This window comes from Homo sapiens, chromosome 1, assembly GCF_000001405.40.
Source record: "Homo sapiens chromosome 1, GRCh38.p14 Primary Assembly".
In the NCBI taxonomy this organism is placed as follows: Eukaryota; Metazoa; Chordata; class Mammalia; order Primates; family Hominidae; genus Homo; species Homo sapiens.
The window spans coordinates 154,206,627-154,225,446 of NC_000001.11; the positions used below are offsets into that span (position 1 = coordinate 154,206,627).

An 18,820-nucleotide genomic window follows, 5' to 3' on the forward strand; every position below is an offset into this window, starting at 1 on the left:
ATCCTCATGCCCTATACCCTGTTAGAAATGTGCAGATAACATTATCAAATGCCTGTTTTATTAAAAGACAACTATAAAGGACTGATTCATACGTTTTATTTGATAATAGTTCATTTTATTAAATAATTTATAAAGTCAGACCAGTGCATTGGGCTTGTTAGGGGAAACCATTCCTTCCTACTGTCACATAGCCTGGCAGATTATATCAGGTGCCAAAACATTCCCTTTTATTCAATTTATTAATGAGAGTGTGGAATTAAAGTAGATCCTTGCATGTCAGGAAAGCTGCAACACATCTGGTTTAAGTGGAGCACAAAGGTAAGTTATTCCACATTCACCAACTTCCCCACTTGACCTCCCACCAGTTCCTGTCTGCTTTTTCCATCAATCAACTCTAAGATGCCCTAAACCCAAACAGTTCCCATTCAACTGTGCACAAAGGTATAGATATGGAAGACATCTCACTCCAACTCTCACCTTTGGAATTAAATAAACCTGGAACAGGGAAGGTGAACTATGGCTGAAACCAAGTGAAGATTTTTAAGAAGCTTTGACAGAAACATTAAGAATAACACCTGAATGCAAATCCAGAAAAAAGCGCTACTGGGGGAAAATAGTCTTAGCCAATGTTCTAAAAATGCTCATAAGGAAGGGTTGGGGAATTACCCTTTAGACACAAGCTCTAAGAACTCTGGATACAACGGGAACTTGGATGGATACAGTCTGGGCCTGCTGGGCCAGATGTTCCGAGGGCGGCCCGGCAAGCAGCCTGTCTTGCACATTGCAACTGACTGGCTTAATCTACGGCAAGAGTCCTTCAGCTCCGTCACAGAGTACTCTCCAATGTGTTATAGTTATCCTTAAAGCTCTTCAATTCAAGGAAGTGCTTGGCACGTTTACTCTTCTGACTGGAGGGGAGGTATGTCACCTGGATGGTTGTTGGGGAGACCTCAGGGGACTGAGTTAGGTCTTTGGCTGCTGACTGGTGATGTCGCTGAGAGCTCCCAATTCGTGCTTTAACCCTGAAGAACAGAGAGGGGAGGTCATTGACAGAATGAGGACTAATCAAAGAAATCAGGGCTTATCCCAGGCCATAAATGCAGCAATAGTCACAAATAGTTATTTGTGTCCTATCTGTCCTATTTTGTAAACTAGTTACTAAAACCCCATCTAGTAGCTTAGAAATACAAGAGGCTGAGCGCGGTGGCTCACGCCTGTAATCCCAGCACTTTGGGAGGCCCAGGCAGGTGGATTGTTTGAGGTCAGGAGTTCGAGACCAGCCTGGCCAACATGGTGAAACCCTGTCTCTACTAAAAATACAAAAATTAGCTGGGAGTGGTGGCGGGTGCCTGTAATCCCAGCTACTCGGGAGGCTGAGGCAAGAGAATCACTTGAACCCAGGAGGCAGAGGTTGCAAGCCAAGATTGCGCCACTGCACTTCAGCCTGGGTGACAGAGCAAGACTCCATCTCAAAAAAAAAAAAAGTAGCAGAGAGGCTGGGCATGGTCACTTATACCTGTAATCCCAGCACTTCAGGAGGCAGAGGCCAGAGATCGCTTGAGCCCAGGGGAGTTTGAGACCAGTCTGGGAAACAAAGTGAGACCCTATCTCTGCAAAAAATTAGCCAGGTATGGTGGCAAGCACCTGTAGTCCTGGTTCCTCAGGAGGCTGAGGCAGGAGGATCGCTTGAACCCAGAATTCGAGGCTGCAGTGAGCCATGAATGTGCCACTGCACTCCAGTCTGGGCGACAGACTGAGACCCTGTCTCTCTCTCTCACACACACCCTAAAAAAGTAGCAGCACTCCAGCCTGGGTGACAGAATAAAGGCCCTGTTTGGGTACCCTGACACACACCTACTCATACCAAAAACAACTAGCAGCAGAGAAACCAATTTCCCAGAGTTCTTGCCTCTGGCTCAAGCTTTTTTTTCAGAGACAGGTATCCCCAATATAGGTATCACCTTGTTTTGCAGATTAGGAAACTAAGGGTCCAATAATTAGCTTGTATGAGGTCACAAAACTAGTTAAGTGACAGACCTGGGATTCAAACCTAAGTTTGTCAGATTTCAAAGCCTATACTCTTCACTAAACCCAATGAACATTCCTAGAAACTACAAATCAAACATAATTTTTTGTTTTTGAGATGGAGTCTTTTTCTCTGTTGCTCAGGCTGGAGTGCAGTGGCACAATCTTGGCTCACTGCAACCTCTGCCTCCTAGGTTGAAGCGACCTGTCTCGGCCTCCCGAGTAGCTGGGGATTGCAGGTGCATACCACAATGCCCAGCCAATTTTTCTATTTTTAGTAGAGACAGGGTTTCACCATGTTGGCCAGGCTGGTCTTGAACTCCTGACCTCAGGTGATCCACCCGCCTCAGCCTCCCAAAGTGCTGGGATTACAGCCGTGAGCCACCATGCCTGGCCTTCAGAAATAATTTTTAAAAAGATTGTGGTAAAATACATGTAACATAAAATTTACCATCTTAAGAATTTTTAAATGTATGGTTCAGTAGTGTTAAGTATATTCACAGTGTTGTGCAACCAACCTCCACATTTTCATCTTGCAAAACTGAAACTATACCCAGTGAACAACTCCCTATTTCCCCCACTCTCCAGCCCCTGCAACCATCATTCTACTTTCTGTCTCTGAGTTTGACTACCTAGGTATCTCATATAACTGGAATCATCTAGTATTTATCTTTCAAAGAAAGTGAATTTTGAACAGGCTTCTGCTGACTTCTAGACCAAATGCCCTTTTCCAGCCTTTCTACATGTTCATTTTCATCAGTGCTCTAAGCAGTTTTTTTTTTTTTTTTTTTTGAGACAGTGTCTCACTCTGTTGCCCAGGTTAGAGGGCAGTGGCATGATCTTGGCTCACTGCAACCTCTGCCTCCCAGGCACAAGTGGTACACGCACCTCAGCTCCTGAGTAGCTGGGACTACAGGTAGGTGGTCGCCACCACTCCCAGCTAATTTTTTTTCGAGATGGAGTCTTGCTCTGTTGCCCAGGCTGGAGTGCAGTGGCGCGATCTTGGCTCACTGCAAGCTCCGCCTCCTGGGTTCATGCCATTCTCCTGCCCCAGCCTCCCACGTAGCTGGGACTACAGGCACCCGCCACCACGCCCGGCTAATTTTTTTTTTTTTGTATTTTTAGTAGAGACTGGTTTTCACGTTAGCCAGGATGTTCCCGCTCTCCTGATTTCATGAACCGCCCGCCTCGGCCTCTCCAAGTGTTGGGATTACAGGCGTGAGCCACCACACCTGGCCTAATTTTTTTATTTTTAGTAGAGACAGGGTTACACTATGATGCCCAGGTTGGTCTCAATCTCCTGGGCTCAAGTAATCCACCCATCTCAGCCTCCCAAAGTGTTGGGATTACAAGTACGAACCACTGCAGCTGGCCTTCTAAGCAGTTTTTACTAGGACCTTTCATCTTTTCGAGACAGACTCTTGCTCTGTCACCCACGCTGGAGTGGCACAATCTCGGCTCACTGCAACCTCTGCTTCCTGGGTTCAAGCAATTCTCCTGCCTCAGCCTCTGGAATAGCTGGGATTACAGGCATGTGCCACCACACCAGGCTAATTTTTATATTTTTAGTAGAGATGAGGTTTTGTCATGTTGGCCAGGCTGGTCTCCAACTCCTGGCCTCAAGTGATCCGCCCACCTTGGCCTCCCAAAGTGCTGGGATTATAGACGTGAGCCACTGCTCCAGGCCTTGGCCCTTTCATCTTTTAAGACAACGTAGCTCATTTTTAGGGACAGAGAGAAGACAGGAGAGACATACCCCTTAAGCTCTTGAAAAAGAGCAATATTCAACATAGCAGAAAACAGATTATTTTTATGGCTGGTAACTAACTGTTTATTATTATTTTGAGATGGAGTCTCGCTCTGTCGCCTAGGCTGGAGTGGAATGGCACGATCTTGGCTCACTGCAACCTCCACCTCCCAGGTTCAAGCGATTCTCCTGCCTCACCTTCCTGAGTGGCTGGCATTACAGGTGCGCACATCATCATGCCCGGCTAATTTTTGTATTTTTGTAGAGATGGGGTTTCACCATGTTGGTTAAGCTGGTCTTGAACTCCTGACCTTAGATGATCCACCTGCCTCGGCCTCCCAGTGTTGGGATTACAGGTGTGAGCCACTGCGCCCGGCCTAAGTTTTTACTCTAGATTGGCTTTCCTTTCTCGCCAAGAACTTTGATTTTAACATTTGCATGAAAATACGAGACTATGTTTAGTGTGTATTAAAAACATTCCCAAACAAAAGCCATGAATCCTCTCCTGTGACACAAATGCTCAACAGCTGACTCTATAGCGATGGCCTTTGTTTCAGACATGGTTACTAATACTTTAAGTGGTAGTAAAAATAGATTTTTTTAATTTTTAATTTTTATTTTTTTTTTGAGACAGTCATGCTCTTGTCACCCCAGCTGAAGTGCAATGGCATGATATCGGCTCATTGCAACCTCCACCTCCCGGGTTCAAGTGATTTCTGCCTCAGCCTCCCGAGTAGCTGGTATTACAGGAGCCCGCCAGCATGCCCAGCTAATTTTTGTATTTTCAGTAAAGACGAGGTTTCACCATGTTGGCCAGGCTGGTCTTGAACTCCTGACCTTGTGATCCACCCTCCTCGGCCTCCCAAAGTGCTGGGATTATAGGCGTGAGCCACCGCGCCCGGCCAAAAATAGATGTTATTTAATTCTTTTTTTTTTTTTTTTTTTTTTTTTTTTTTTGAGATGGAGTCTTGCTCTGTCACCAGGCTGGAGTGCAGTGGCGTGATCTCAGCTCACTGCAACCTCTGCCTCCTGGGGTCAAGCGATTCTCCTGCCTCAGCCACCCGAGTAGCTGAGATTACAGGCACGCACCACCATGCCCAGCTAATTTTTGTATTTTTAGTAGAGACAGGGTTTCACCTTGTTGGCTAGGATGGTCTTGATCTCTTGACCTCATGATTCGCCTGCCTCGGCCTCCCAAAGTGCTGGGATTACAGGCGTGAGCCACCGCGCCCGGCCCAATGTTATTTAATTCTTACTTTTATTGGGCCAAGACACAAAAGGGACGCTGAGACTCTGAAGAGAAGGAATCCCTGTGTGTGCTGAAAAACTATTCCCTTTGCTAGGCTACACCAATTTTGACATTTTATTGGGCTAAACAAAAGACAAGAAAAATGCACACAAGAAAAATGCTAGTAAAAACTTCTTTTACTAGCTTGTATAGTTGCATCTGCTTTCTTTTCTTCTTTTTTTTTTTTGAGACAGAGTTTCACTTTTGTTGCCCAGGCTGGAGTATAATGGCACGATCTTGGCTCACCGCAACCTCCGCCTCCCGGGTTCAAGAGATTCTCCTGCCTCAGCCTCCCCAGAAGCTAGGATTACAGGCATGCGCCACCACGCCCGGCTAATTTTGTATTTTTAGTAGAGAACGGGGTTTCTCCATGTTGGTCAGGCTGGTCTCGGATTCCCAACCTCAGATGATCCTCCCGCCTCGGCCTCCCAAAGTGCTGGGATTATAGGCGTGAACCACTGTGCCCGGCCGCATCTGCTTTCTAATGTAAGAGACTGATCTAATAGTCTAGAACCTGACAACTCTTATGGTATCATGGATTTTGTTTATATGCTTTATGAAGGTCACTGCACTGTGGCAACAGTCCAACACTACTGTACCAGCTCCCTCTGACACGTTCCCCTCCAAACTCACGCAGTGGCCAGCTCACTCAGGGCCTCCTGATAGCGTAGGTACTCATTCTGGCCAAAGACCTTAGGAAAGAGAAAGGAAGAGTGAGGATCTCTCAGTCTGAGGGATCTCTTTAGTGCCCCGAAGAAAAAACTGGCTTACCCCTGTCCCATAGCGGGCTGTTTCATAGCCATCCAAAAGGGTATCAATGAGTGCTTTGCGTACACCCTTGAAAGGCGTACTAGTGTTTCGCAGATCCAGCAGGTAGGAGCGGAAATTCTTGCCCATTAAGGAACGGGGATGCCGGCCTTCAGAATGAAATGGGATCTCTGTGGAGAAAACAGCACAATGATATCTCTTCTCATTCTTTAGTCTTTTTTTTTGAGATGGAGTCTCGCTCTGTCACCCGGGCTGGAGTGCAGTGGCAGTGATCTTGGCTCACTGCAACCTCCACCTCCTAGGTTTGAGCAATTCTCTAGTCTCAGCCTCCTGATTAGCTGGGATTACAGATGTGCACCACCATGCCAGGCTTATTTTTGTATTTTTAGTAGAGACAAAAATACAAAAGGGTTTCACCTTGTTGGCTAGGTTGGTCTTGAACTCCTGGCCTCCTGTGATCTGTCTGCCTCGCCCTCCCAAAGCGTTGGGATTACAGGCATGAGCCACTGCGCCTGCCCCATTCTTTAGTCTTTCTAGTTAATTCCCCAAACTTAGAAGTAGGTCTAATGAAGCTGGGCGCAGTGGCTCACGCCTGTAATTACAGCAATTTGGGAGGCCGGGGCAGGCAGATCACCTGAGGTCAGGAGTTTGAGACCAGCCTGGCCAACATGGTGAAAACCTGTCCCTACTAAAAATACAAAAATTAACCAGGCATGGTGGTAGGTACCTGTAATCCCAGCTACTCGGGAGGCTGAGGCAGGAGAACCGCTTGAACCCAGGAGGTGGAGGTTGTGGTGAGCCAAGATCGTGCTACTGCACTCCAGCCTGGGCAACAGAGCAAGACTCCGTCTCAAAAATAAAAAGAAATAGGTCTAATGAAATGAGCAAGTTGAGTTAGAGGGAGATTCTGATTGAGACCAAAGGTATAAAGCTGTGCCTGAGTGGTCATTTGGTGGTAACACCACAGTTGTAAGCTACATCTATGACACATGATAGTGTCATCACACATTTTACCATCCTGCTTACTCATCCATCCTAGGTTTAAGATATAAACTGTTTTCATAGAGATAAAGCATATATGACAAGTGTTGACAGAATGGAAAAAATTCAAGAACAATCTATCTTGGGCTTAGTGAAAAAGCAGGTGCCACCTGTCCTTTGTGGAAAAACAAGCAAATTACTATCATCTACTTCATGAAACTAAAGGTCTCAAGAGAAGAACTTTAAAAAACAAAACACCCAGACTCTTTGGAGAATAACCTGCTTATATCATTTCCTTCAGCAAAATCTCTAATCTAGTACTTTCAAAACTCTAGAATTTCCTACTAGCCAGGGATGTGCAGAAAGGACAAATCCTAACATACAAAGTGGGTTCATTACTCTGTTCCCTAGGTGGGCTTTCAGGATCCTAGAATGGACCCTGTCAGGTAGCCCTTACCAGAGGTACGAATGGCATCCAGAGCTTTCATCCTATACAGATAGTTGTAGCAACCTGTTGAGGAAAAGACTGGTGTTAGGCATAACCCTAAAAATATTCCCCAGGCTGGGCGTGGTGGCTCATGCCTGTAATCCCAACACTTTGGGAGGCTGAGGTGGGTGGATCACCTGAGGTCAGGAGTTTGAGACCAGCCTGACCAACATGGAGAAACCCCGTCTCTAGTAAAAACACAAAATTAGCCAGGCGTGGTGGCGCATGCCTGTAATCCCAGCTACTCAGGAGGCTGAGGTAGAAGAATTGCTTGAACAAGGGGGTGGAGGTTGCAGTGAGCTGAGACTGCACCATTGCACTCCAGCCTGGGCAACAAGAGTGAAACTCCATCTCAAAAAAGAAAAAAAAAATTCCCCAAACTCCAGCAAGCTAATAAATGGGCTCTGCATCTAACATATATCCAATAACAGGAATAACTAAGGCTTTGCCAGCAGCTTTTGACAACTCTGAGAGAAAAGGAATTCTGGACTTGTGGGACTCCTCACTGAAGCATTCCAAGAGCTTGCCACATACTTTGATTTCCCTGGGTTTCCAGTTGTAGTAGTCTAGCATCATCATCTGCAAGGAGCTGGGGCTCATACTTGATATCCTGAACCCTGGAGAGTCGAATATCAATCTCCTCTTTCAAGTCCTGTTCACATAAAAAAAGAATACACAATCATTTACCCTGCACTCTGCTTTCCACCAATGTGAAAATGGGGCAGAGTTAATGAATAACTAAGACAACAGAAATAGAGACCATGCTCATGTAGTTAATAAAATTACCAGATAAGAGGTAAGAATTTAGGAAAGAACGGGATTGGGTTTTCCAATAACCTCTCCAAGCTGCACATCTCTAAGCTAGAACATTTAACTTGTGCCAGAAATCCTTCAAGCTATACAGCACCAACATTATTTCCAATTTTTTTTTTTTTTTTTTGAGACAGAGTCTTGCTCTATCACCCAGGCTGGAGTGCAGTGGCGCAATCTCAGTTCACTGCAACCTCCGCCTCCCAGGTTCAAGCAATTCTCCTGCCTCAGCCTCCAGAGTAGCTGGGATTATAGGCGCGTACGACCATGTCTGGCTAATTTTTCTATTCTTAGTAGAGATGGGGTTTCACCATGTTGGCCAGGCTGGTCTCAAACTCCTGACCTCAAGTGATCCGCCTGCCTTGGCCTCCCAAAGTGCTGGGATTACAGGTGTGAGCTACTGCGCCCAGCCTCTCTTGCCTCAGCCTTCTGAGCAGCTAGGATTACAGGTATGCACCTAGCTAGAGGCTACTTTAAAAAAAAATTAACACATATTTCTTTTAAAATAGCCAAGTCAAATTCATGGTATACAAATTTTAAAGATAGTAAAGGGGCCGGGTGCTGTGGCTCACGCCTGTAATCCCAACACTTTGGGAGGCCGAGGTGGGTGGATCACAAGGTCAGGAGATCGAGACCATCCTGGCTAACACGGTGAAACCCTGTCTCTACTAAAAATACAAAAAATTAGCCGGGCGTTGTGGCGGGGTCCTGTAGTCCCAGCTACTCGGGAGGCCGAGGCAGGAGAATGGCGTGAACCCGGGAGGCAGAGCTTGCAGTGAGCCGAGATTGCGCCACTGCACTCCAGCCTGCGTGACAGAGTGAGACGTCTCCAAAAAAAAAAAAAAAGATACTAAAGGTAGCACCTCTCAGTTACCCAGCAGCAACTACTATTTTCAGTTTCATATTAATCTCTCTTACCTAAGAGGGTTACCAGAGCCCCAGGAAATAAATTTTTTGTTGTAACTTTTTACAAACTCCCATTGTGAAACATAAGATACACAAAATACAGGTAACATAGATGTACATTTTAAATAATTATAAAAAGCATAATAATGAACACCTATAACCAATATCCAGTTTATGCAATGGAACATTACCACTAACTTTCTTTTTTTTTTTTTTTGAGACGGAGTCTCGCTCTGTCGCCCAGGCTGGAGTGCAGTGGCGCAATCTCAGCTCACTGCAAGCTCCGCCTCCCGGGTTCACGCCATTCTCCTGCCTCAGCCTCCCGAGTAGCTGGGACTACAGGCGCCCGCCACCACGCCTGGCTAATTTTTTGTATTTTTAGTAGAGACGGGGTTTCACCTTGTTAGCCAGGTTGGTCTCGATCTGCTGACCTCATGATCCACCCGCCTCGGCCTCCCAAAGTGCTGGGATTACAGGCGTGAGCCACCGCGCCCGGCCCTACCACTAACTTTCAAGTCTTGTGTGCCCATCCCTCATTGAATGCTCCGCACCCCAAACCTTAACTTGTCAATAGTCCTCATACACTTCTTCACTGTTTTATCGTGTCACCCTAAAAAAGATGCTTAGCTTTGCCTGGTTTTCAACTTGATACAAATGGAAAAATACTTTAAGAATCCCTCTGCAACTTGTTTAAAAAAAAAATTTTTTTTTTTTGAGACAGGGTCACACTCTGTCACCCAGGCTGGAGTGCAATGGCACAATCTCAGCTCACTATAACCTCCACCTCCTGAGCTCAGATGATCCTCCTGCCTTAGCCTCCTGAGTAGCTGGGGTTACAGGCACACACCACCATGCATGGCTAATTATTAAACATTTTTTTTTTTTGAGATGGAGTCTTGCTCTGTCACCCAGACTGGAGTACAGTGGCATGATCTTGGCTCATTGCAACCTCTGCCTGCTGGGTTCAAGCAATTCTCCTTGCCCTCCTGCCTCAGCCTCCCAAGTAGCTGGGACTACAGGCGCATGCCACCATGCCCAGCTAATTTTTTGTATTTTTCGTAGAGATGGGGTCTCACCATGCTCGCCAGGCTGGTCTCAAACTCCTGACCTTGTGATCTTCTCATGTGGGCCTCCCAAAGTGCTGGGATTACAGGCGTGAACCACCGCGCCTGGCCCATTTTTAAACTTTTTATAGAGACAGGGTTTCCCCATATTGCCTACGCTGGTCTCGAACTCCTGAGCTGACGTGATCAGCCTGCCTCGGCCTCCCAAAGTGCTAGGATTACAGGTGTAAACCACCTCGCCTGGCCTTAAATTTTTTTTTTTTTTGATACAGAGACTCACTCTGTCACCCAGGCTGGAGTGCAATGGTGTGATCTCTGCTCACTGCAACCTCCGCCGGGGCTCAAGTGATTCTCCTGCCTCAGCCTCCTGAGTAGCTGGGATTACAGGCACACACCGCCACGCCCAGCTAATTTTTTTGCATTTTTAGTACAGTCGGGGTTTCACCGTGTTGGCCAGGCTGGTCTTGAACTCCTGACCTCAGGTGATCCACCTGCCTCAGCCTCCCAAAGTGCTGGGATTACAGGCGTTAGCCACCGCACCCAGCAAAATTTTTCAAATATACTTTATTGAGGTTGAATTTACATACAATAAATGCATTCATTTTATGTATATAAATTGATGAGTTTGACAAATGAACATACCCCCTTCACCACCACGTCAATCAAAGTAAAGAATATTTTCATCACCTGGAAATCTCCCCTCTCCCAGCCCAGGCAACATGATGTACTCTTTTACAGTTCTGCCTGTTCTAGAATTTCATATAAATGGGGTGGAAGCACATGGTACATATTCTCTTGTGAACGGCATTTTGGCTTTCTTCACTCAGCATGGTTTTTTTGTTTTTGGTGAGACAGAGTCTCGCTCTGTCACCCAGGCTGGAGTGCAGTGGTTTGATCTCAGCTTACTACAACCTCTGCCACCTGGGTTCAAGGGATTCTCCTACCTCAGCGTCCCGAGTAGTTAGGATTTTTTTCTTGTATTTTTAGTAGAGATTGGGTTTCACCATGTTGGCTGGTCTGGTCTCGAACTCCTGACCTCAAGTGTTATCTGCCCAACTCGGCCTCCCTAAGTGCTGGGATTACCGGCATGAGCTACCATGCCCGGCCCACTCAGCATGTTTTTGAGATTCATGTTTGCAATTTTTTTCATTCAGAAGTATTTTGAGGACTTGTCTTCATATATTTATCTTCAGTTTTTCATTTTTTACACTATTCCAGAATATGAATATACCACTACCTATTTTTTAGAAACAAGGTCTTGCTCTTGCCCATGCTGGAGTGCATCAGTGCAATCATAGCTCACTGCAGTCTGTAACTCCTGGGCTCACATGATCTTCTGGCCTCAGCCTCCCAAAGTGCTAGGACTACAGGTATGAGCCACTGCACTCAGCCTATATAATAATTGAAAAGTGGACATTTGAATTAAGTTTCTTCTTCAAATATTATGAACAATGCCCCTATAAATAATCTTGCACATGTTTCTTGGTACACATGAGCAAAACTTAATTTCTCTATGGTAGGAGAGAAACTGTTGGACCATGGATTAGGTACATGTGCAATCTTACCAGACAATGACCAGTTATTTTCCAAAGTGGTTTTACTAATTTATACTTTCACTAGCAATGGTTGAGAATTTAGAAAAAATTTTTAAGCAAAAGGAATATTGCTCTGAACTAGACCAAGGGACCCCTGAATAGCCAAAGTATTGATTGGTTCATGATGTGCTAGAAACTAACCCTATGTCTTTCTCATGAGGCAGGCAGGACTGTTAAGGTTTCAAGCCAGGACATCCTCCTAGAGCCTTTTCATGTACTATGTCAGCAAAGAACAAAGAGGGGAAGGTTAATAGCACTTGTTAATGAAAGTACAGTGCTCTAGGAGTTGAGGGAGTCATGAGCTCTAGCTCTACAACTAACCTGTTTTTCATTCAGCAACAAATTACAGAGTACCTGCTATGTGTAGGCCCTGGCACTAACCTGTTTTTCATTCAACAAGAAATTACTGAGTACCTACTATGTGTAGGTCCTGGCTTTATAGTCGTGAACAAAACTGGCATGGTGCCTGCATTCTTGAAGCTTACGGTCTAGCGGAAGAGAGAGGCATGTTTTAAACAAATGGACAAACATAAAAATTATGGTAAATGCTATGAAGGAAAAATCAGGGTACCATGTGAAAATAAAGAGAGGGGGAACCTACTTTAAAATAGGTAATAAGCATTCCTTTTTTGGAAGTAACATTTAAGCTAAGATCAAAAGAATGAATGAGCTAGCCAATTGAAGACCATTCCAGATCACAGGAGCAAAAAGGGTGGAAAATTCAGCCAGTGGAGCTGGGTCCCAGTGATCTGGGGAGAGCCACACAAAAGGGGGTTGGTAAGGGAAGCAGGTGTCTTTTACTTAGAAGCGAAAGACTAAAGAAGCAGAATGAGAGTGGCAGTGGGATAGCAATAATTCTGATTCACAAATGTTGGGTTTGAGATGTCTACTACAAATCTAAGTGGAAATGTCAGGTAATCAGTTGGCAATATATGTAAGGAACTCAGGAAAGAGTTCTAGGATAGAGATAAAATTTCATCTGTAGCTAAAGCCAAGGAAAGGAAGACAGTCACCTAAGGAGAAAGTACAGACAAAGATAAAAGACCACTGGGTTATTCACTTCCTATACGTCTTCTGGTAAACTGCCTCCTTTTCTTGGGCTTCTTGGTAACATGAATGGTGGAATTAGATGATTTATGGAGCTCCTCTTAAGTCTAAAATTATGTAAAGGTAACCCTTCTCATTGCTCTTGGGTTAACCTTAATGATCTCAACCCCATCCTAATCAAACAAAAAACACTGGGTAGTTTAAGATGAGCTGGGAAATATTTTACTACAAACAGTTGGGAACTTCGACCCAAGCCCTTCATTCTGCAGATACAAAAACAGAAGTTCCAGGATGAGCCACATGCTTGCCACAGCACTGAGCAGGTAAGCCAAGTTCCAAAGCGCACAGTGCCTGCTCAACTTAGTAAGTACAAGGACAAGTGCACGCAAAGAAACATGAGAATTAAAGTCATCACTAAAGGCAGAGGAAATCTCATTCTTGACCCTAAAAGATCTGGAGAAGTATGTTTAACTTGTGCCCTAAGGACCTACCTTGGGGGCATTGTGTCCCACAGGGACATGAGGTCCCCTTCGAGATTTCATTGCAAAGCGCATGATTTGCCTCTTCACAAAAATAAATAGCAGTACAAACACCTGTCCAAAAAGATGTAAAAATCCTTTAATAAAAAGTCAGTTTTGTTTTGTTTTTTTTTTAAAAAAGCATGCCTTCATTCCAAATCCCCAGATTCCGGCTCTCAGGAATGTTTCAGGGTAAAACTTGGGGCAAAGCAAGGCCGTTATGATGGGGGTGGATCTAAGAAGCCAGCAGCAGGGAGGCGTGGGGTCTGTGCTCTAGCGTTAAAGGGAGGGTTCTAGACTAACGAGGGCGGGTCGGCCCGACTAAGTGACTTAAACTCCCACCTACTCCTGGAATAAGGAGTCAAAGCCCGGATAGGCGCAGGTGAGTGGGTGGAGAATGCAGACGGGGTACAGCTCAAAAGGAGGGTCTCTACTGGGTAAGATGCGACAGCAGGAATGGGGTGGGGTAATCTCCTCACCAGGCTCCCGTAGGCCATCACCAGCACGACATTCACCCCGGAGAGCCAGTTACTGCCGGACGCCATGGCCTCCCTACCTCGCGCAGAATTGTTCGGGTTTACCCCGCTGTCCTGGCTGGTCAGCCCAGGCTCCGCCGAAGCGACGGCGCCTGGGTCCCCTGGAGCTCCCCGGCCATTTCCTTACGGGGGAAGACCAAGCCAGACCCGGCCTGAAAACATGGCGGACAGGCAGGAGAGCTGGGAAAGGAGAACGACGCCTTCCAGCTTCCCCCTGACACGTGACTCAGGCAGGCAATGGCACCCAGGAGCGTCGAGCGCTCAGACGCGGAACTACGACAGTAAGAGGAAGCGGCGGCCATCCGTGCGTCACGTGGTGGAGGCAGGGCCGCCGTGAAGGAGGCGGGGTGGACTCGCGGAGCCGGAAAGAGGTGTCTCGTGGCGAGGCGGCACGCGCACGCTTGCGTGCGCGCCCCTTTTAGCGTCACGCGCTGAGGGACGCAGGAAGGCAAGTGGGCGGGGGAAGGCGCGAGAGCGAGCGCGAGAGGGAAAAGGAGGGAGGGGGTGGGGAAGAGGGAATCTTATATCACGTGACAGGGGCGGCGCGGCCCGGGGTGTCAGTGTGGAGGAGACTGAGGTAAAGTTGGGAGCGCAGCGGCGTTGGCGGCGGCGGCGGCGGCAGCGGCAGCGCGGCGGGGCCGGGTATTGTCCGCGGCCCCTTTAAATCCGCGATCCCCCTTTTACCCTCCCTCTTTTCTCCCCTGCCCCCGCCGTATCCCCTCCCTCGGTAGGCCCCCCCACACCGTGTGTTCCCCCACTGTACACCCCCCCCCGAGTCATGCGAGCCCTGGCGCCCCCCACCTCGAGTCGGCCCCCGGAGGTTTTGTTTATGGTTGGGTTCGCGGCCTAGTGGGCCGCGCCAGAGCCGGGGCCTCGATTTGGGAGCGTGGCCGGGGCGGGGCTTGGAGCAGCCGTAGGAAGGGGGGGCCATGCGGCTAGAGCCTGAGAGGGGAGAGCGAGAAAGAGCGCGAGCGAGCGAGGCCTGGGCCTTGCCTGAGGTAGGGCTCTCTCTTCACCCCGGCCGGTGCCTGCGGAGGAGAGGGCCTCCTCCCTTTCCACCCACTGCGGGCCTCCTCTGATCCGGATCCGGCCTGGTTTGGGGGTGGCGTGGGGGAGGGAGGGCGATGGGGTGGAGCTCCCCCAAACTCCCCCATGTGGCCCTCAGTTTGGTGTGCGAAGGATTAATTTGTTCCGGCTGGGAGGTAGGGAGGAGATTGGCCCCGTGGGCTCTCGATGTGGCGCTGAGGGGGGTGAGCCTCCCATCCTCCACCCGTGGGCTTGCGTCCCCTCTCCGTTTCCAGGCTCTTTGTCAGCTCCTCTTATTACCCTCCCTTCTTTCTCACCAACCCAGTTCTTGGAATATGTTTTTGCTGCTGTCTTTAGCTTCCTGTTTATACTGTAGTTTGGGTACCCCAAACAATTGTGTTATTTGGGAAGCTGGACATGGAGGCCCCCATAGGGTGTATTTACGCTTAAGGGACGTCACTAGAGCACTGGGGTATTTGTTCACTCTTCTCATAATGGTACAGGAATGCCCAGTTTCTTCAAACCCTTAACCTTGTGGACAGCCCTTAAATTGCTTTGCAAACTGATGTCACAAACTGGAGACTGCTCCTTTTCCACCATTCTTGAAATGTAGCCACCTCTGGTGTAGGATGTTGTGGAAAGAAAAACACCACAGTAACAGGCGTTTTTGTTATTATTGTTAACGTTTTTGCCTTTGACTCTCCCTGATTATTAAATGGAGAAATCCTTTTTTTTTGTCTTCTCTCCCATCCTACCTTCCTCCGCCGCATATCCTGTTTTGGGGATACCTGATGTGACTTGCTGGGAGGTGATGGACATTACTAGTAACCAGCGTTTCTAGAGAATTAAAACATTTTGGCTGTGTATCAGTTGATAAAACTGCTTTGAGATCTGTCTCCATTGTACTTAAAGATTAGACTATCCCAATGATTACAGAGAATTAAAACATTTTGGCTGTGTATCAGTTGATAAAACTGCTTTGAGATCTGACACCATTGTCCTTAAAGATTAGACTATCTCAATGATTGTTTCCTTTGTGAATGGGAAATATTGCTGGCACATAAACTAGTGATGAAAGGCCTAAAAATGTCCTGTTTTGTTTTTCATCTTTAAAGCTCCTCCTTGCTATGTCCTAACTGGGAAGTACTCTTACTAACTAGATATCAAGGTGGTGGGGAAGGGGATGCAGGGGCCATTTCAACAAAGCATCTACAGAAATTAGTTGTTCTGTTAGAGGTAGCAAATTTTACCCAACTCAGTCTAGCTTCAGTTTCTGAATTGTTTCTTAAATTAGATTGTAAGCTCCCTGAGGGCAGCTACTAAGTCATACTGCTTTTGTATTTTCCTGAAGTATTGGACACATAGTAGATTCTCAATAAATATTTGTTATTTAGTTTTTTCAGTGAAATTTCTCTGGCTATTTTTTTAAGTAGCTAGTTTTCAAAAAAGAGTCAAGGGCACTCCTGTGTTGAAACCTCTGTTTACTCTCGCACGATTTCCTTGGTCTCCAATACTTCTCACCCTACTTCCTTTAAATCTTTTTATTTTCTAAGAAAGAGCAAGTAAGTAACAAGATTCTTCATCTCCAGTGTGATAGCTGGGAATGGGTCTGCTTGCTACTAATTCTGTGCCCTCAAGTGATCCATTCCAGATCACTTACTTTTGACCTGTTGCTCAGTGTTGTCACTACTAGGTGGTAAAAATTTTCTTAGTCACATTTCGAAGCACTTGTAAGAGGGAAATGTTACTAGCAAGAGTGATTAGGAGAATTTTTTTCTTTCTTGGTTAATTATATCTTTCAAGATGACTTTTTAATATGTTTACATCTGACTGGTACAGTATATGCAATAGTGTATAGCTAGTCATGCAGTTTATACCTGCAATATAACTTATCCTCACAAATAGATATCACATGTGGAGTAGAAAACAGTCAATATTTGTAAGTTACAGTAGTGGGTTGGAAATGACTATGCCATATTAGAAACTTCATCTTAGAGCCAATTTTAAAACAAAATAGTTTTCCTCTCGTCTTTATATATATACGTATATATGTGTATATGTAGTCTTGTTGATTTGGATTCGGGGTACTTGGTTAAACATTTTTTTTTTTTGTAAAGTTGAAACGACTATAATGCTAACCTGGGAAAATGGGCTACTGTGTAGCAAATAATCCTTTCTAGCTTGAAATACTTATGGGCTTTTGTGTGCCAATATGTGTAGGGGGAAGAGGTAATGGGTTAAAAATTACCTGAGAAGCTACCTTAAAAAAATCTTTCTTGATACAAAGACCTATGCAACCTATTGACGCAACTTGGTGAAGAATTTATGCACAGAAAAAGTCAGCTTTCTCTGTGACATCCAAGAAAGTCAGATGAAATTCACTTCCCTAATAGTTAATCCTTGCATATTTCTTTAGAAGTCCTTCCTCCCACTCAAATCCAGTAATATCTCTGGGCAGTCTAGAATTACGTTGTATAAGGTTTCATTAACAAGAAAAATTAAATATAGAGCAGAAAAGTATAAACTTACCCTCTTTGGAAGGGAATAAATGCAGAGTAACCTATTATTTTGAACACTCTATCATATGATTAATGTTTTCTTTTTTACTAAATGCAGCAGCTGAGATTGTATTATAAAACAAAGTATGAACTAAAGGAACTTGAATTCAGTAGAATCCTTCCTTGTTAGAAGTCTTGTAACAAAAACTATATTCTGGTTTGGGGAAGGCCCTGTGTGTTCTGTGTCTCTTTAAAGACTCAACTAAGTCATCTTGCCAGCATTAAGGTCTCAAGTTTAAAATGATTTCTTAGAAGCACTTTCTTCCAAATAAAACTTTGTGCTAGATGCTTTTGGTTTGAGACAAATTTGAGATTCCCTGTATATTAAGGTGAGTGGTGGAGGGTAATTGCCATTTTGGTTTCTTGAAAATGTGGACTAGGAGACCAAGAGAAGCACCTGTAAAAGCAGTGTGTTGGAATTATTTTCCAGAGAACAGAGATTCTGGACAAAGTCATTGGGGCTAATACGTACCCTGTTGAAGGCTGTGGTTTAAAAAAACAAAAAACCCCCACAAACACAAAACAAACCCATAGCATACTGAGAGAGATGAAACTTGAGGGACAAAGAAGAGTCTAGACTTGAACTTGTCCTTTCCCAAGCAATGGAGGTCACATGCAGCTTACATAAAAAAGGTTGTAAGGCAGGTAAGGCTGTTTTCTTAGGTGATTGAATACAGTATTTAAAATTATTTCTCTGGAGTGTAGACTAATCTCCTTCCTGGAAGGTTTTTGTTTCCAGACTTTACTGATTATCTTTCCTTCTGTCAAAGGTACTTCAGATACTTGCATCTATGTAAAAGGCTTTTGATTATTAGTTAAATGTAAAGTCTGCTTATGGGGGACTAGTAACCAAACTGCTGTAACTTCTTAAAAAAATCCATCACTTACACATGCTTTATACATTTCTTGTTACATAAAAATGGATTAACAGCCATAGCTCCTTAAGGAATTTATCAAGCTAATTATGTTGTAAGAATAAATGAATCTTATTGATTTGTTCCTTTGAAGAAGTGAAAGTGTTTGGTGGTGAAGGTGCTGATGAGAGAGTTAAAAACATATTTTGCCCACATTTAATACCTAATTTTCTTTTAAATCTTTCAGTATTCTACCTTGTAAATACTGTTATTTGTATATACTGTAAATGATGACATCGGTGGGCACTAACCGAGCCCGGGGAAACTGGGAACAACCTCAAAACCAAAACCAGACACAGCACAAGCAGCGGCCACAGGTAAATAATCCAAGGCATACGGATTCATGGATAGCGTTGCCTGCTGATACTGGTTTCCATGCAGTACAGCATCATTCTGTGCTTTGAACTGTTGGTTTAGGTTCCTTATTTTTGTTTTCTAGTCCTTGGCTCTTTTTTTACTTAGGTCCTGATAACTGTTCATGACATGCTGTAAGGCAAGATGCTTACTTTTTTGTTGTTTAATACTGTATTATGAGGCTTAGCACTTTATT

At 45.3% G+C, this 18,820-nt stretch overlaps 2 protein-coding genes across 61 annotated transcripts in view, besides 6 other annotated features; one reads left to right on the plus strand and one right to left on the minus strand.

The window, feature by feature from the left end:
• Positions 1-93: 93 nt before the first annotated feature.
• Positions 94-13,964, minus strand: LTAP1 (lipid transport auxiliary protein 1). 9 transcript variants are annotated; one of them, NM_001297718.2, is made up of 7 exons: positions 13,793-13,964; positions 13,210-13,311; positions 7,831-7,948; positions 7,267-7,320; positions 5,832-5,998; positions 5,694-5,752; positions 94-1,022 (listed from the first exon to the last, which is right to left on the minus strand). In NM_001297718.2, the coding sequence occupies exons 2-7, from the start codon at positions 13,270-13,272 to the stop codon at positions 827-829; spliced, it is 657 nt and encodes a 218-aa protein (NP_001284647.1). In that variant the 5' UTR covers positions 13,273-13,311; positions 13,793-13,964; the 3' UTR covers positions 94-826. The 9 variants fall into 9 exon arrangements, with proteins under 9 accessions (NP_001284647.1, NP_001092086.1, NP_056264.1 ...); NM_001098616.3 differs by having other exon boundaries at positions 13,716-13,964; NM_015449.4 differs by lacking the exon at positions 13,210-13,311 and having other exon boundaries at positions 13,716-13,964.
• Positions 13,337-14,084: an enhancer, noted in NCBI's record as "NANOG-H3K27ac-H3K4me1 hESC enhancer chr1:154192439-154193186 (GRCh37/hg19 assembly coordinates)". NCBI's record gives its function as "activates a minimal SCP1, AML or CMV promoter by ChIP-STARR-seq in primed H9 embryonic stem cells {active_cell/tissue: H9 hESC(primed)}" and the evidence as "EXISTENCE:reporter gene assay evidence [ECO:0000049][PMID:30033119]".
• Positions 13,337-14,102: a biological region, named in NCBI's record as "NANOG-H3K27ac-H3K4me1 hESC enhancer GRCh37_chr1:154192439-154193186".
• Positions 13,423-13,492: a silencer, noted in NCBI's record as "silent region_1350". NCBI's record gives its function as "represses an Ori minimal core promoter by ATAC-STARR-seq in GM12878 lymphoblastoid cells {active_cell/tissue: GM12878}" and the evidence as "EXISTENCE:reporter gene assay evidence [ECO:0000049][PMID:35858748]".
• UBAP2L (ubiquitin associated protein 2 like) overlaps positions 13,546-18,820 on the plus strand; it is a 51,339-nt gene continuing 46,064 nt past the window's right edge. For 16 of the 52 annotated variants that reach the window (XM_047435856.1, NM_001375625.1, XM_047435859.1 and 13 more), the window contains exons 1-2: positions 14,329-14,414; positions 18,458-18,587. In XM_047435856.1, coding sequence (XP_047291812.1) covers positions 18,498-18,587 — 90 coding nt within the window. In that variant the 5' untranslated portion in view covers positions 14,329-14,414; positions 18,458-18,497. Of the gene's footprint in view, positions 13,619-14,222; positions 14,415-14,677; positions 14,771-18,457; positions 18,588-18,820 lie in introns of those variants that run through there. The other 36 variants (XM_047435877.1, XM_047435868.1, XM_047435887.1 and 33 more) reach the window with 4 other exon arrangements.
• Positions 13,663-14,102: an enhancer, noted in NCBI's record as "active region_1774". NCBI's record gives its function as "activates an Ori minimal core promoter by ATAC-STARR-seq in GM12878 lymphoblastoid cells {active_cell/tissue: GM12878}" and the evidence as "EXISTENCE:reporter gene assay evidence [ECO:0000049][PMID:35858748]".
• Positions 14,085-14,832: an enhancer, noted in NCBI's record as "NANOG-H3K27ac-H3K4me1 hESC enhancer chr1:154193187-154193934 (GRCh37/hg19 assembly coordinates)". NCBI's record gives its function as "activates a minimal SCP1, AML or CMV promoter by ChIP-STARR-seq in primed H9 embryonic stem cells {active_cell/tissue: H9 hESC(primed)}" and the evidence as "EXISTENCE:reporter gene assay evidence [ECO:0000049][PMID:30033119]".
• Positions 14,353-14,502: a silencer, noted in NCBI's record as "silent region_1351". NCBI's record gives its function as "represses an Ori minimal core promoter by ATAC-STARR-seq in GM12878 lymphoblastoid cells {active_cell/tissue: GM12878}" and the evidence as "EXISTENCE:reporter gene assay evidence [ECO:0000049][PMID:35858748]".

Coding starts and splice junctions, on each gene's coding strand:
- LTAP1 (NM_001098616.3), bottom strand. CDS start 13,781: ATGGCGTCCGGCAGTAACTGGCTCTCCGGGGTGAATGTCGTGCTGGTG. Junction 13,312..13,715: donor TGATGGCCTACGGGAGCCTG/GTGAGGAGATTA, acceptor CTTTTTGGACAG/GTGTTTGTACTGCTATTTAT. Junction 5,999..7,266: donor GGATGCCATTCGTACCTCTG/GTAAGGGCTACC, acceptor TTTTCTCCACAG/AGATCCCATTTCATTCTGAA.